Raw genomic sequence first — 14,429 nt, forward strand, 5'->3', positions numbered from 1 at the left:
TATTAGTCATTCCTATTTTCCTTCTTTTTCTAGCACTTATACAAACACCTCCTCTTAATTTGGGACACATATTCTTAAGACAGTTGTCAACAGAAGAAGTGTTAGGAGGTACACGTGTTTTCAAAATACTCATAGCACCTCTTGCCCTGGGTTATTCGTGGTACTACATACCATTCTATTAGAGAATAAGTTCCATGTAATATTTGCTCTGAGTCCTTGTTCATATTCAGTTCTAAACTAGGAGCTGCATTTGAGGCATTTTAAAAGAGGACATTGTATTATTATTTTCCCAGGAGTTTCACATTTCAATTATTTCAGTTTTTTTTCCCATTGGCTAGCATCTGAAAAAAATAAAATATATGTATAATAGCTTTCAAACTATTGTTTTACATTTCACTTAGAATCCCACAGATTCATGATAACTGACAATGTCCTGGGGGAAAATGTATATATAACACAGGTTTAACAATACCTGCTTTTAAAACGTTATGTAACATATGGTTGGCAAAACAAAGATTCAAAGACTATTTAAATAATGAGATCACAGGATTATTTCTAAAATTATGCTTTGATAAAGTTCTAAATCTGTATAGAGAGGTTGAATGATTGAGAAAATGTAGCTGTTGGAGAGTATTAGCCATTAGGAGACTATAGACATCCACAGGAAACAATTTTGCAAGGAAGGAAATAGTGCTTTTCATTAGATTAATAGCCAGCAGATTGATCAATGTGAAACATATGCATCCTCTATTACTATGAAACTATTAATGTGTGTTGAAATTCATGTAAGAAAATAATTCAGCTAAGCTCATATAATGACTTATCTGACAGGAAATATATACATTTTAAAGTTAGACATAGAATGGTGATTCCTTTTTCTTTTTTCTATACTCATTTTTTACCCCAAAACTTACCTCATTAAAACATATATGCAATATACATATTTGCAAATTATAGGTGTTGACATATTTTTCCAGAAAATTCTGTGGCAACAAAACATCAGTTTTTGGGTCGTAGAGTCAAAGTAAGATAGCATACATAGGGCATACTTAGAGGTGAGCTTCTCAAGAATCAGGCTAAAGAAATAGGTAAATTATTGGACAGAATAACCAGGGTTAATAAATGCATGTATCTTTCTCTTTCACTTTAAGATACAGGACACAAACAAAGGATCTCTCAACCACTCTGTTTTACTCAGCCATCATGTAAAATGGTTTTGTTTGTTTTTTGGTTCTCTTTGATTATTTCACACATTCTGTTGGTAAGGTTTTGTTTCCTTCCTTACTAACAAAACCTTAGTACTAGGTTTGGTTTCCTCCCTTCTGTGTTTCAGTCCTTGGCAGCTGGCTGGAGGTTTTTTTTCCCCGTCATCAGAATATCGAAATAGGTAATATATAATGTATATATTGATATGAAATATAAGGAAACCGATTTGTATGAAAAAAATATTTTCTACTTTTGTGACTAAAACGTTTAAAAATAGAAATTTGCTCTGTCATACATTTTGCTGAGAGATTAATTTTGTGATCTTAGTCTCTTGTTATGGTCCCCCAAAATTGTAAACAAGATTATATAGAAATGAAGTAATGGGTAGATATCATATTATTTGTTTTCTAAATAGGGATACTTTTGGTGATTCAGAGAGCCAAATAATTGTCAGATGCCAACTGATCTATAATAGGGCATAAAATCAAACTGCCTGGGGAGAATAGTGATGGAATGCCATGTAATGAGATTTACAGAATTTTCTCGGAATCCCTCATATGTAACAAATATATTTCCTTACGTTGTACTTCCTTCAAGGCATTAAATAAACAACAGTAGAGCTATTTAAAATGACTGAAAAATAAAGGTGGTTTTACTTTATTTAGGAAATCAAAATCATGATGAACAAAAATTGTTGTCATATAAGTAGTCTACCCTACATTCATTTATCTCTGTCCTTAGATTAATTTATTAGATTGGAGAAATCACACCTTTGAAGGCACAAGAAGTCTGCTCTCAAGGAGAAGGGATAAATATAAGATGGTTCTACAGTGTTGGTGCATATTATCTTCAAATACAGGTAGAGATATAAAACCATACCAAGATGTTTAGAATTTCAGAGTTGGAAAGGGTATTGGAGATAACTTATTTAAAAGTGCTAGTTTTGCAGATAAAGCCATTGAAAGCGAAAAAAAGATCCAAGGTTAAACAGTTTTAAAAAATTTTCTTATTGTCTTCTCAAATAAGAAGTGCAGCTAAAAAGGAATTTACAGAATTATTCCTCATTCAATTATGAGATAATAGGAGTAGATTAGAAATGGGAACAGATATTAACAGGAAAGAATGTCCTTAAAGCATTTTTATAGCTGAATGAAAATGTGCAGATTTAGAAGAGTAAGACACTCATCGATTACTCGTCATTTAAATTGTTAGGACAAGAATTAACTACTTTTATTATTTTTAGCATTTTAATATTCACTAGTAACAGAATTTAGTACCTAAAATATTCTTAAAAATTAAGTAGAGTTTTTTACAGCTTTGACCTTTCAAATATTTCACATTCAAATTTGTTGGCAATTCTTTCTATCCCCACAGGTTACTGAGGCCATAAAAAGAAAAGGGAATTGCATAACTAGTGAATTAGATGCATTATAGGAAAAGGCCAAAGTCTATGGCTCCATAATTCATGGAAAGCGTAAGATATCCAAATGTCTAGATGACAAGATATGTACTATGAGGAGTAGTAAAAGGAATATTTTTCATCTTTACTATTAACAATAGATTTGCAAAACTCTTGGAGTTGCTCTAGAATTCAACCTCAAAACAGTGTTTTACATAATAATCTAGGATTAGAAACCAAGGTGTGCATGTTGCTCAGAGGTTGCTGATGCTGTTCCTACCCCTTTGGATGCTGAGTAGACAGCACTGATGAATGTTGCCCTATAAAGATTGTTCGGTACCAGTGACAGAAGAAAACTTGAGGAGACATAAGGCAAGAGAGACTGTATTTGGCCATATTTTAAATGTGATTTATTCTGATTAGAGGCAGTAATTTTTGTTCTAACTTTCTCACAAATAAGACTGAAAAAAAAAAACTTGTTACGTTAATCATCTGCCATCTCATCAAAACCCCTGACTAACTCTATGTTAGGGTGAAAAGATGGCGTGAGTGTTAAAAAAATTGCTTATATAGAATATTTTGCTAAATTCTTGGTAGATGACTTTATTATGAGATATTCACATGACTTAGGTATCTGAGTCATATGTTAGATGAAAGTTTTCATAATAGTACAAAACAAATGAATAAATATCAATACAATATCTAGCTGATACAATTGATAGAGCTTTACATGTAACAAAATTAGGACATTATATTGAGAACATTAATAAATTACTAACCAAATATATAATTACTATTACAAAATAGGCATTCTCTTATAGATCATATATTCTAATAGGAGACACTACAATTACACAGTAATTTTACAACTACATAAATAAATGTATTTATAAAATATTATCTAAAGGCAAGTAATAATTTGTCATGAAGACAGAGTATGAAATGTGAATTTGCGCAATAGTCATGCAATGGAATCCCTATACTAACCGTCTACCTTTGAATGTTTGCTATTAAAAAAATTGGGGTATTATCTTAATATCAATGGGAAGCTATCAAAAATTTTATATCTTAACAAATATAATAAAAAATTTATGGTGATATAAATCTTTATGTAATCTATATGTACACATAAGTGAAATCACACATTTAGTACACTTATTGCACTAAAGGTAATCATTACCATTAAATATATCCTAAAGGATGTTGTGCTGATTATCATGTGCATATTAAAATTAAATATAAATTTAAAAGCTCTTATACAGTCAATTATATATGCTATCTATTGATTGTTCCTATGTGTATGATTGCATTAGATACTGACATAATATATGTTGATCAAGAAAAATCTTTATAATCTAAGATATGAACTAAAAGAATAATATGAACAGTTATTTCTAAAATCTAAGACAATAGCATAGGATGCTTTATAAATTCAGCCTTTAGGAGAAAAGCAGTAGTTTAACTATTTGGGAGTGATTGTTTTTATGATTAGGAAATTAGAATAGAAAATTATGAAAAATGAAATATATTACAATTTAGTGATTATGTTATGATCTAGCAAAATTAGGGAAGAAGATTAAGTATAAAAGAGAAGAAAGTGTGGAGCCAGCACACAGACAGAAAAACACACACACCTACACACACATGAAAACACACAATGTATTGTACACAGTGCAAGCGCTGGCTACAAAGATGAATAACATATTGGTCTGTCGTTTTACTCATTAAACAACTGTTATATGTAATACATCAACAAATATGATTTCTTAATTCTCTTGAAAAATAGTTTCAAATAGTTTTAAAACCACTTTTTAATTTTTTTATTTATTTACTTTTATTTATTTATTTATTTATTTATTATTATACTTTAAGTTTTAGGGTACATGTGCACAATGTGCAGGTTAGTTACCTATGTATACATGTGCCATGCTGGTTGCGCTGAACCCACTAACTTGTCATCTAGCATTACGTATATCTCCCAATGCTATCCCTCCCCCTTCCCCCTACCCCACACCAGTCCCCAGAGTGTGATGTTCCCCTTTCTGTGTCCATGTGTTCTCATTGTTCAATGCCCACCTATGAGTGAGAATATGCGGTGTTTGGTTTTCTGTTCTTGCGATAGTTTACTGAGAATGATGATTTCCAATTTCATCCATGTCCCTACAAAGGACGTTAACTCATCGTTTTTTATGGCTGCATAGTATTCCATGGTGTATATGTGCCACATTTTCTTAATCCAGTCTATCATTGTTGGACATTTGGGTTGGTTCCAAGTCTTTGCTGTTGTGAATAGTGCCACAATAAACATATGTGTACATGTGTCTTTATAGCAGCATGATTTATAATCCTTTGGGTATAGACCCAGTAATGGGATGGCTGGGTCAAATGGTATTTCTAGTTCTAGATCCCTGAGGAATCGCCACACTGACATCCACGATGGTTGAACTAATTTACAGTCCCACCAACAGTGTAAAAGTGTTCCTATTTCTCCACATCCTCTCCAGCACCTGTTGTTTCCTGACTTTTTAATGATTGTCATTCTAACTGGTGTGAAATGGTATTTCATTGTGGTTTTGATTTACATTTCTCTGATGGCCAGTGATGGTGAGCATTTTTTCATGTGTTTTTTGGCTGCATAAATGTCTTCTTTTGAGAAGTGTCTGTTCATGTCCTTTGCCCACTTTTTGATGGGGTTATTTGTTTTTTTCTTGTAAATTTGTTTGAGTTCATTGTAGATTCTGGATATTAACCCTCTGTCAGATGAGTAGGTTGCGAAAATTTTCTCCCACTTTGTAGGTTGCCTGTTCACTCTGATGGTAGTTTCTTTTGCTGTGCAGAAGCTCTTTAGTTTAATTAGATCCCATTTGTCAATTTTGGCTTTTGCTGCCATTGCTTTCGGTGTTTTAGACATGAAGTCCTTGCCCATGCCTATGTCCTGAATGGTATTGCCTAGATTTTCTTCTAGGGTTTTTATGGTTTTAGGTCTAACATTTAAGTCTTTAATCCACCTTGAATTGATTTTTGTATAAGGTGTAAGGAAGGGATCCAGTTTCAGCTTTCTACATATGGCTAGCCAGTTTTCCCAGCACCATTTATTAAATAGGGAATCCTTTCCCCATTGCTTGTTTTTCTCAGGTTTGTCAAAGATCAGATAGTTGCAGATATGCGGCATTATTTCTGAGGGCTCTGTTCTGTTCCATTGATCTATATCTCTGTTTTGGTACCAGTACCATGCTGTTTTGGTTACTGTAGCCTTGTAGTATAGTTTGAAGTCAGGTAGTGTGATGCCTCCAGCTTTGTTCTTTTGGCACAGGATTGACTTGGCGACTTGGGCTCTTTTTTGGTTCCATATGAACTTTAAAGTAGTTTTTTCCAATTCTGTGAAGAAAGTCATTGGTAGCTTGATGGGGATGGCACTGAATCTGTAAGTTACCTTGGGCAGTATGGCCATTTTCACGATATTGATTCTTCCTACCCATGAGCATGGAATGTTCTTCCATTTGTTTGTATCCTCTTTTATTTCGTTGAGCAATGGTTTGTAGTTCTCCTTGAAGAGGTCCTTCACATCCCTTGTAAGTTGGATTCCTAGGTATTTTATTCTCTTTGAAGCAATTGTGAATGGGAGTTCACTCATGATTTGGCTCTCTGTTTGTCTGTTGTTGGTGTATAAGAATGCTTGTGATTTTTGTATATTGATTTTGTATCCTGAGACTTTGCTGAAGTTGCTTATCAGCTTAAGGAGATTTTGGGCTGAGACGATGGGGTTTTCTAGATAAACAATCATGTCGTCTGCAAACAGGGACAATTTGACTTCCTCTTTTCCTAATTGAATACCCTTTATTTCCTTCTCCTGCCTGATTGCCCTGGCCAGAACTTCCAACACTATGTTGAATAGTAGCGGTGAGAGAGGGCATCCCTGTCTTGTGCCAGTTTTCAAAGGGAATGCTTCCAGTTTTTGCCCATTCAGTATGATATTGGCTGTGGGTTTGTCATAGATAGCTCTTATTATTTTGAAATACGTCCCATCAATACCTAATTTATTGAGAGTTTTTAGCATGAAGGGTTGTTGAATTTTGTCAAAGGCTTTTTCTGCATGTATTGAAATAATCATGTGGTTTTTGTCTTTGGCTCTGTTTATATGCTGGATTACATTTATTGATTTGCGTATATTGAACCAGCCTTGCATCCCAGGGATGAAGCCCACTTGATCATGGTGGATAAGCTTTTGGATGTGCTGCTGGATTCGTTTTGCCAGTATTTTATTGAGGATTTTCGCATCAATGTTCATCAAGGATATTGGTCTAAAATTCTCTTTTTTGGTTGTGTCTCTGCCGGGCTTTGGTATCAGGATGATGCTGGCCTCATAAAATGAGTTAGGGAGGATTCCCTCTTTTTCTATTGATTGGAATAGTTTCAGAAGGAATGGTACCAATTCCTCCTTGTACCTCTGGTAGAATTCGGCTGTGAATCCGTCTGGTCCTGAACTCTTTTTCGTTGGTAAGCTATTGATTATTGCCACAATTTCAGCTCCTGTTATTGGTCTATTCAGAGATTCAACTTCTTCCTGGTTTAGTCTTGGGAGAGTGTATGTGTCGAGGAATTTATCCATTTCTTCTAGATTTTCTAGTTTATTTGCATAGAGGTGTTTGTAGTATTCTCTGATGGTAGTTTGTATTTCTGTGGGATCGGTGGTGATATCCCCTTTATCATTTTTTATTGCGTCTATTTGATTCTTCTCTCTTTTTTTCTTTATTAGTCTTGCTAGCAGTCTATCAATTTTGTTGATCCTTCCAAAAAACCAGCTCCTGGATTTGTTAATTTTTTGAAGGGTTTTTTGTATCTCTATTTCCTTCAGTTCTGCTCTGATTTTAGTTATTTCTTGCCTTCTGCTATCTTTTGAATGTGTTTGCTCTTGCTTTTCTAATTCTTTTAATTGTGATGTTAGGGTGTCAATTTTGGATCTTTCCTGCTTTCTCTTGTGGGCATTTGGTGCTATAAATTTCCCTCTACACACTGCTTTGAATGCATCCCAGAGATTCTGGTATGTTGTGTCTTTGTTCTCTTTGCTTTCAAAGAACATCTTTATTTCTGCCTTCATTTCGTTATGTACCCAGTAGTCATTCAGGAGCAGGTTGTTCAGTTTCCATGTAGTTGAGCGGTTTTGAGTGAGATTCTTATTCCTGAGTTCTAGTTTGATTGCACTGTGGTCTGAAAGATAGTTTGTTATAATTTCTGTTCTTTTGCATTTGCTGAGAAAAGCTTTACTTGCAAGTATGTGGTCAATTTTGGAATAGGTGTGGTGTGGTGCTGAAAAAAATGTATATTCTGTTCATTTGGGGTGGAGAGTTCTGTAGATGTCTATTAGGTCCGTTTGTTGCAGAGCTGAGTTCAATTCCTAGGTATCCTTGTTGACTTTCTGTCTCGTTGATCTGTCCTATGTTGACCGTGGGGTGTTAAAGTCTCCCATTATTAATGTGTGGGAGTCTAAGTCTCTTTGTAGGTCACTCAGGACTTGCTTTATGAATCTGGGTGCTCCTGTATTGGGTGCATATATATTTAGGATAGTTAGCTCTTCTTGTTGAATTGATCCCTTTACCATTAAGTAATGGCCTTCTTTGTCTCTTTTGATCTTTGTTGGTTTAAAGTCTGTTTTATCAGAGACTAGGATTGCAACCCCTGCCTTTTTTTCTTTTCCATTTGCTTGGTAGATCTTCTTCCGTCCTTTTATTTTGAGCCTATGTGTGTCTCTGCCTGTGGGATGGGTTTCCTGAATATAGCACATTGATGGGTCTTGACTCTTTATCCAATTTGCCAGTCTGTATCTTTTAATTGGAGCATTTAGTCCATTTACATTTAAAGTTAATATGTTATGTGTGGATTTGATCCTGTCATTATGATGTTAGCTGGTTATTTTGCTCGTTAGATGATGCAGTTTATTCCTAGTCTCAATAGTCTTTACATTTTGGCATGATTTTGCAGCGGCTGGTACCGGTTGTTCCTTTCCATGTTTAGCGCTTCCTTCAGGAGCTCTTTTAGGGCAGGCCTGGTCGTGACAAAATCTCTCAGCATTTGCTTGTCTGTAAAGTATTTTATTTCTCCTTCACTTATGAAGCTTAGTTTGGCTGGATATGAAATTCTGTGTTGAAAATTCTTTTCTTTAAGAATGTTGAATATTGGCCCCCCACTCTCTTCTGGCTTGTAGAGTTTCTGCCAAGAGATCTGCTGTTAGTCTGATGGGCTTCCCTTTGAGGGTAACCCGACCTTTCTCTCTGGCTGCCCTTAACATTTTTTCCTTCATTTCAACTTTAGTGAATCTGACAATTATGTGTCTTGGTGTTGCTCTTCTCGAGGAGTATCTTTGTGGCGTTCTCTGTATTTCCTGAATCTGAATGTTGGCCTGCCTTGCTAGATTGGGGAAGTTCTCCTGGATAATATCCTGCAGAGTGTTTTCCAACTTGGTTCCATTCTCCCCGTCACTTTCAGGTACACCAATCAGACGTAGATTTGGTCTTTTCACATAGTCCCATATTTCTTGGAGGCTTTGCTCGTTTCTTTTTATTCTTTTTTCTCTAAAGTTCCCTTCTTGCTTCATTTCATTCATTTCATCTTCCATCGCTGATACCCTTTCTTCCGGTTGATCACATCGGCTCCTGAGGCTTCTGCATTCTTCATGTAGTTCTCGAGCCTTGGATTCCACCTCCATCAGCTCCTTTAAGCACTTCTCTGTATTGGTTATTCTAGTTATACATTCTGCTAAATTTTTTTCAAAGTTTTCAACTTCTTTGCCTTTGGTTTGAATGTCCTCCCATAGCTTGGAGTAATTTGATCGTCTGAAGCCTTCTTCTCTCAACTCGTCAAAGTCATTCTCTGTCCAGCTTTGTTCCGTTGCTGGTGAGGAACTGCATTCCTTTGGAGGAGGAGAGGCGCTGTGCTTTTTAGAGTTTCCAGTTTTTCTGCTCTGTTTTTTCCCCATCTTTGTGGTTTTATCTACTTTTGGTCTTTGATGAAGGTGATGTACAGATGGGTTTTTGGTGTGGATGTCCTTTCTGTTTGTTAGTTTTCCTTCTAACAGACAGGACCCTCAGCTGCAGGTCTATTGGAGTACCCAGCTGTGTGAGGTGTCAGTCTGCCCCTGCTGGGGGGTGCCTCCCAGTTAGGCTGCTAGGGGGTCAGGGGTCAGGTACCCACTTGAGGAGGCAGTCTGCCCATTCTCAGATCTCCAGCTGCGTGCTGGGAGAACCACTGCTCTCTTCAAAGCTGTCAGACAGGGACATTTAAGTCTGCAGAGGTTACTGCTGTCTTTTTGTTTGTCTGTGCCCTGCCCCCAGAGGTGGAGCCTACAGAGGCAGGCAGGCCTCCTTGAGCCGTGGTGGTCTCCACCCAGTTGGAGCTTCCTGGCTGCTTTGTTTACCTAAGCAAGCCTGGGCAATGGCGGGCGCCCCTCCCCCAGCCTCGCTGCTGCCTTGCAGTTTGATTTCAGACTGCTGTGCTAGCAATGAGGGAGGCTCCGTGGGCATAGGACCCTCACAGCCAGGTGGGGGATATAATCTCCTGGTGCGCCGTTTTTTAAGCCCGTCGGAAAAGCGCAGTATTCGGGTGGGAGTGACCCGATTTTCCAGGTGCCATCTGTCACCCGTTTCTTTGACTAGGAAAGGGAACTCCCTGACCCCTTGTGCTTCCCGAGTGAGGCAATGCCTCACCCTGCTTCGGCTCGCATACAGTGCACTCACCCACTGACCTGCCCCCACTGTCTGGCACTCCCTAGTGAGATGAACCCGGTACCTCAGATGGAAATGCAGAAATCAACCATCTTCTGCATCGCTCATGCTGGGAGCTGTAGACCGGAGCTGTTCCTATTGGGCCATCTTGGCTTCTCCCCCAAAACCACGTTTTTATTTAGCTTGTTTGATATGTGGTTCACACACACACACACACACTTATTCTGGCTTCACTAAATTGGAATTCTCCAGTTACATGTAAGTATACTATGAACTTTTCAAAGGCAGCAACTGTCTTTGTTTCTGTATGTCTAGCACCTAACACAGCTATCAGAGCCCATATCAAGCCATAGGAAATTGATTGTGGTTTAGGGGATGAATTAATTACCAATTAACAGATAGATTTATGAAAAATAAATTCATGTCAGAAAATCTAAATTCTAAGCAATTTTGTTTACCTCTGACTGTTTGTGGAGCTTCTTTTCTCTTTATTTCCTCAAGCCTCACTATTGCAATTACAACTTTAAGAATCCTTTGATTCTTCATCTCTGAGGCATATGTTCTTTAAAAAATAACAATAATTTCCATTTGAAAAACCTCAAATTAGACTTGATAACTTTAATTTAGAAAAACATCAAAACAATCTATGTTCCCTCAGTATACAAATTTGAATAAAGTTGCATTTAAATAAGTTCTCACATTCATACAGAGTATCTTCAATTTGTGGATTTCAAATGCAAAATAGAGACTTCACATTGCTTAGAAAATGGTCCTTTGGGATCTAAACTTATTATAATTGAAGTGTGAAGTCCTAATTGTGTTACTTTGTGTAATGTATCTTCTATATAGATATTACTCAATGCCTGCAAATTCAAGAAGTGGGAAATGGAGTTGGTATAATGCAAGGGAGATTTATGCTAAGAAGGTTCTGTGTTGTCACGATTAAAAATTTTCCACACATTATATGAATCCTATTGATCATTGCAGGAAGCAGAAAAGTGTGCTGTTCATTGATTTTCTGTGGCTACTGAATGCATTAGGTCTGACACTTTTGATGGGTAGGCAGGTTTTCAAAGGAAGTTCAGTGAAGCTAATCTTAGTTCAGAGGAATATTCACAATGGAATAAGAAACCTTGTAATTGCAAGAGAAAATACAAGAGTGAGAGGACTATATTATGAGCCATATCAGCATAAAAATTTGACAAGAGACACTTTCCAGGAGACCATAATAAAACATATCAACGTTTTGAAGCTGTTTTTCACAAATGTGGCAATTATTAGATAAATTGGGTTTTGGCTTTTTCACCCTTCAGCCAAGACAGTGAAGCAAAGCAATTACTTCTTTTATCTTCTTAGCTAAGGGAAGTCATCAGAAGTCTGTCAAGTTCATAAAAATATAAGTGAATAAATTACATAATTGAATCACATAAGTGAAACTGATAGCAATGAATTCAATATTTTATTTCTAATTCTCTTCACTATTGTACTGGTTTCTTAAAATACAAATTTTCATCCATCAGTTTTATCAAAGACTACTAAAGTAGAGAGAGTGATAGAAAATTCAAATCATAAAGACTTATTCTACCCTGGGAATTAATTCTTATTTTAAAATTAAAGCTAGAAAGTATGATCTTATATCCCTGTTGGAATCTGTCTTAATGACTTATTAATACAATGTCAGAGTACAATATTACTTATCAGTAGTACAAAATAGTGTCAAAGTGCTATGTGTATTTTTCCAGTACATTAAGTACCAGGGCACTGTGTCTCTTTCAGGTGATGATTAATTAAATTAGCATAACCCAAGTGGTCTTTTATGCCCACAAACAAACATATACTTCGTAATTGGCCTTCTCATTTTTTTTCAATCATTTAGCATGCAAGCATACAACTTAAATTTATAAGAGTAAATGATGACTTATAGACTTTCGATATCATATTCCAATTTAATGAAATCCTCTCCCTGGGCACAGTAACATTTTTCCTCACTGCTTTTAGAAATTTGCCTTCAATATAGAAAGCTACTGTAAATTATCAATCATGTGGCGTATTTGAATTTAAAAATATTTTACTTTGTGATTATCAAAATGTTATGAGAATTAAGTATATTAAATTATTACAACAGCTATATTATTTCATTACTAGTATTTACCACATGGGGTTTTGGGGTTGACATCTGTTCAGGACAAGCATTTCAAAATCTGGTCAAGAAAAGGGTTTAATGCAAGGTTCTGAGGCTTTGAATTTGAGAAAGATGGGGTGAACAGGATTTCCTGTGTTTATTGGTGTTTTCTGAGAAAATTAATTACAATATCCAGATATGAATCTATAACTTTATACCATAAGTCTAATGTTCTTTTTTCATGTTCCAGTTTTATCTGGTAGTCCTCCTCCCCTTTCCCTCTCCCCTTTCCCCTCCCCTTACCCCTCTCCTTCCCCCTCCCCTTCCCCCTCCCCTTCCCCCTCCCCTTCCCCCTCCCCTTCCCCTTCCCCTTCCCCTTCCCCTTCTCCTTCTTCTTGCATTAAATTAAAACCCCAAAAAGTAGGCCAGGCGCGGTGGCTCACGCCTGTAATCCCAGCACTTTGGGAGGCTGACGCGGGCGGATCACGAGGCCAGGAGATGGAGACCATCCTGACTAACACAGTGAAACCCCGTCTCTACTAAAAATACAAAAAATTAGGCGGGCCTGGTGGCGGGCGCCTGTAGTCCCAGCTACTTGGGAGGCTGAGGCAGGAGAATGGCGTGAACCCGGGAGGCGGAGCTTGCAGCTAGCCGAGATTGTGCCACTGCACTCCAGCCTGGGTGACAGAGCAAGAATCTGTCTCAAAAAAAAAAAAAAAAAAAAAGTACTAAGAAAGATCTGCTCTAGTTGAGTAAAAGACCCTTGGTTCTGTAACCCAATAGACTATTACAAAGGTATGTAATCTTACCTCTTTAAAATGATTTTGGCTCCTCTCCCCCCACCCTCTGCCTCTGAAAAACTAAATCCTATGACTTTTTTTTTTTTTCCATGCCCCTTACATCTTTTGCCTTAAAGAGCCAGGCTCTGTTTTCCTTATGGTACATTTGAAAATATTCATTTTAATTTTTTTCCAGAAATGATGACATCAGAAAAATACAATTGCTGTAAAGAAAGCAAAAAAATTCTAATGATAGGATTTATTCTGGGAAATGTATATTTTGTAGCTGAGATTACATGATGCTGTACTGAACTTGACCAAAAACTTACCAAGAAAATAGTATTACACATAGAGTAATGTAGGTGAAGAAGGCTACAATAAAACTTCATATTGTATTCCAGTCTAGAAATTGGAAGGATTGAGGATAGTTTAGGGTTTTGTTGAGAGGATAAAGACCAAAGTGATGAGAGGCTGGAGTTTATGTCAAACGAATAACTGAGGAAAAACAGGATGTTTCGTTTAGTGAGAGATTAAGCCAGAGGCTTTGATAATTCTCTCCAAATATTTGAGAGGCTGTTTCATGAAAACGACTCCATTTTGGTCTTGTGTATTTCAGCAGAAACAATGGGTAAAAGTTGCAGAGACAAATGTGTGGTTCAATAAAAGGATAAACATATTATTTCAAGAGTTAGAGATTCACAAAGAAGGAATGATCTGACCCATAACATTGGAGGCATCAAAGCATTTATGCACTTGATATATGATCTTTCCTAAAAAGGTAGTATTGTTTTCTTAGGCTTATAGTCTTAGAAAATAATAACTTTAGAAACTATTGAAGTTTTCATAATAGGTAGTCAATTTAATATAGAAAAAAATGATCTCTAAAAGTTGAGGCTTTGTTGACATTTCACCCTACTCACTGTATTTTCATTTGAAGTCCCTATATAAGACAATTCAAAAAATAAAAATAAAAATCTCATACTGCCTCTGTCATGTCAATTTAAAATGGCACCTTTTGTAGAATTTATATCTGTATTAGCACCCCGACATTTTCTATCCTTTTTTTCCCTCTAGGTGTCAAAACGCATTACAAGGTACTTATGGTGATCAGTTCTGAGACAGAATGGTAGAAATGAGATAAAATGTAAATGAAGAAAAATGATTCTTAAGTAGCAAGGTATAATCTAAATTACCTTCTGTCAAGC

This window comes from Homo sapiens, chromosome 2 (genome assembly GCF_000001405.40).
Source record: "Homo sapiens chromosome 2, GRCh38.p14 Primary Assembly".
Lineage (NCBI taxonomy): Eukaryota > Metazoa > Chordata > Mammalia > Primates > Hominidae > Homo > Homo sapiens.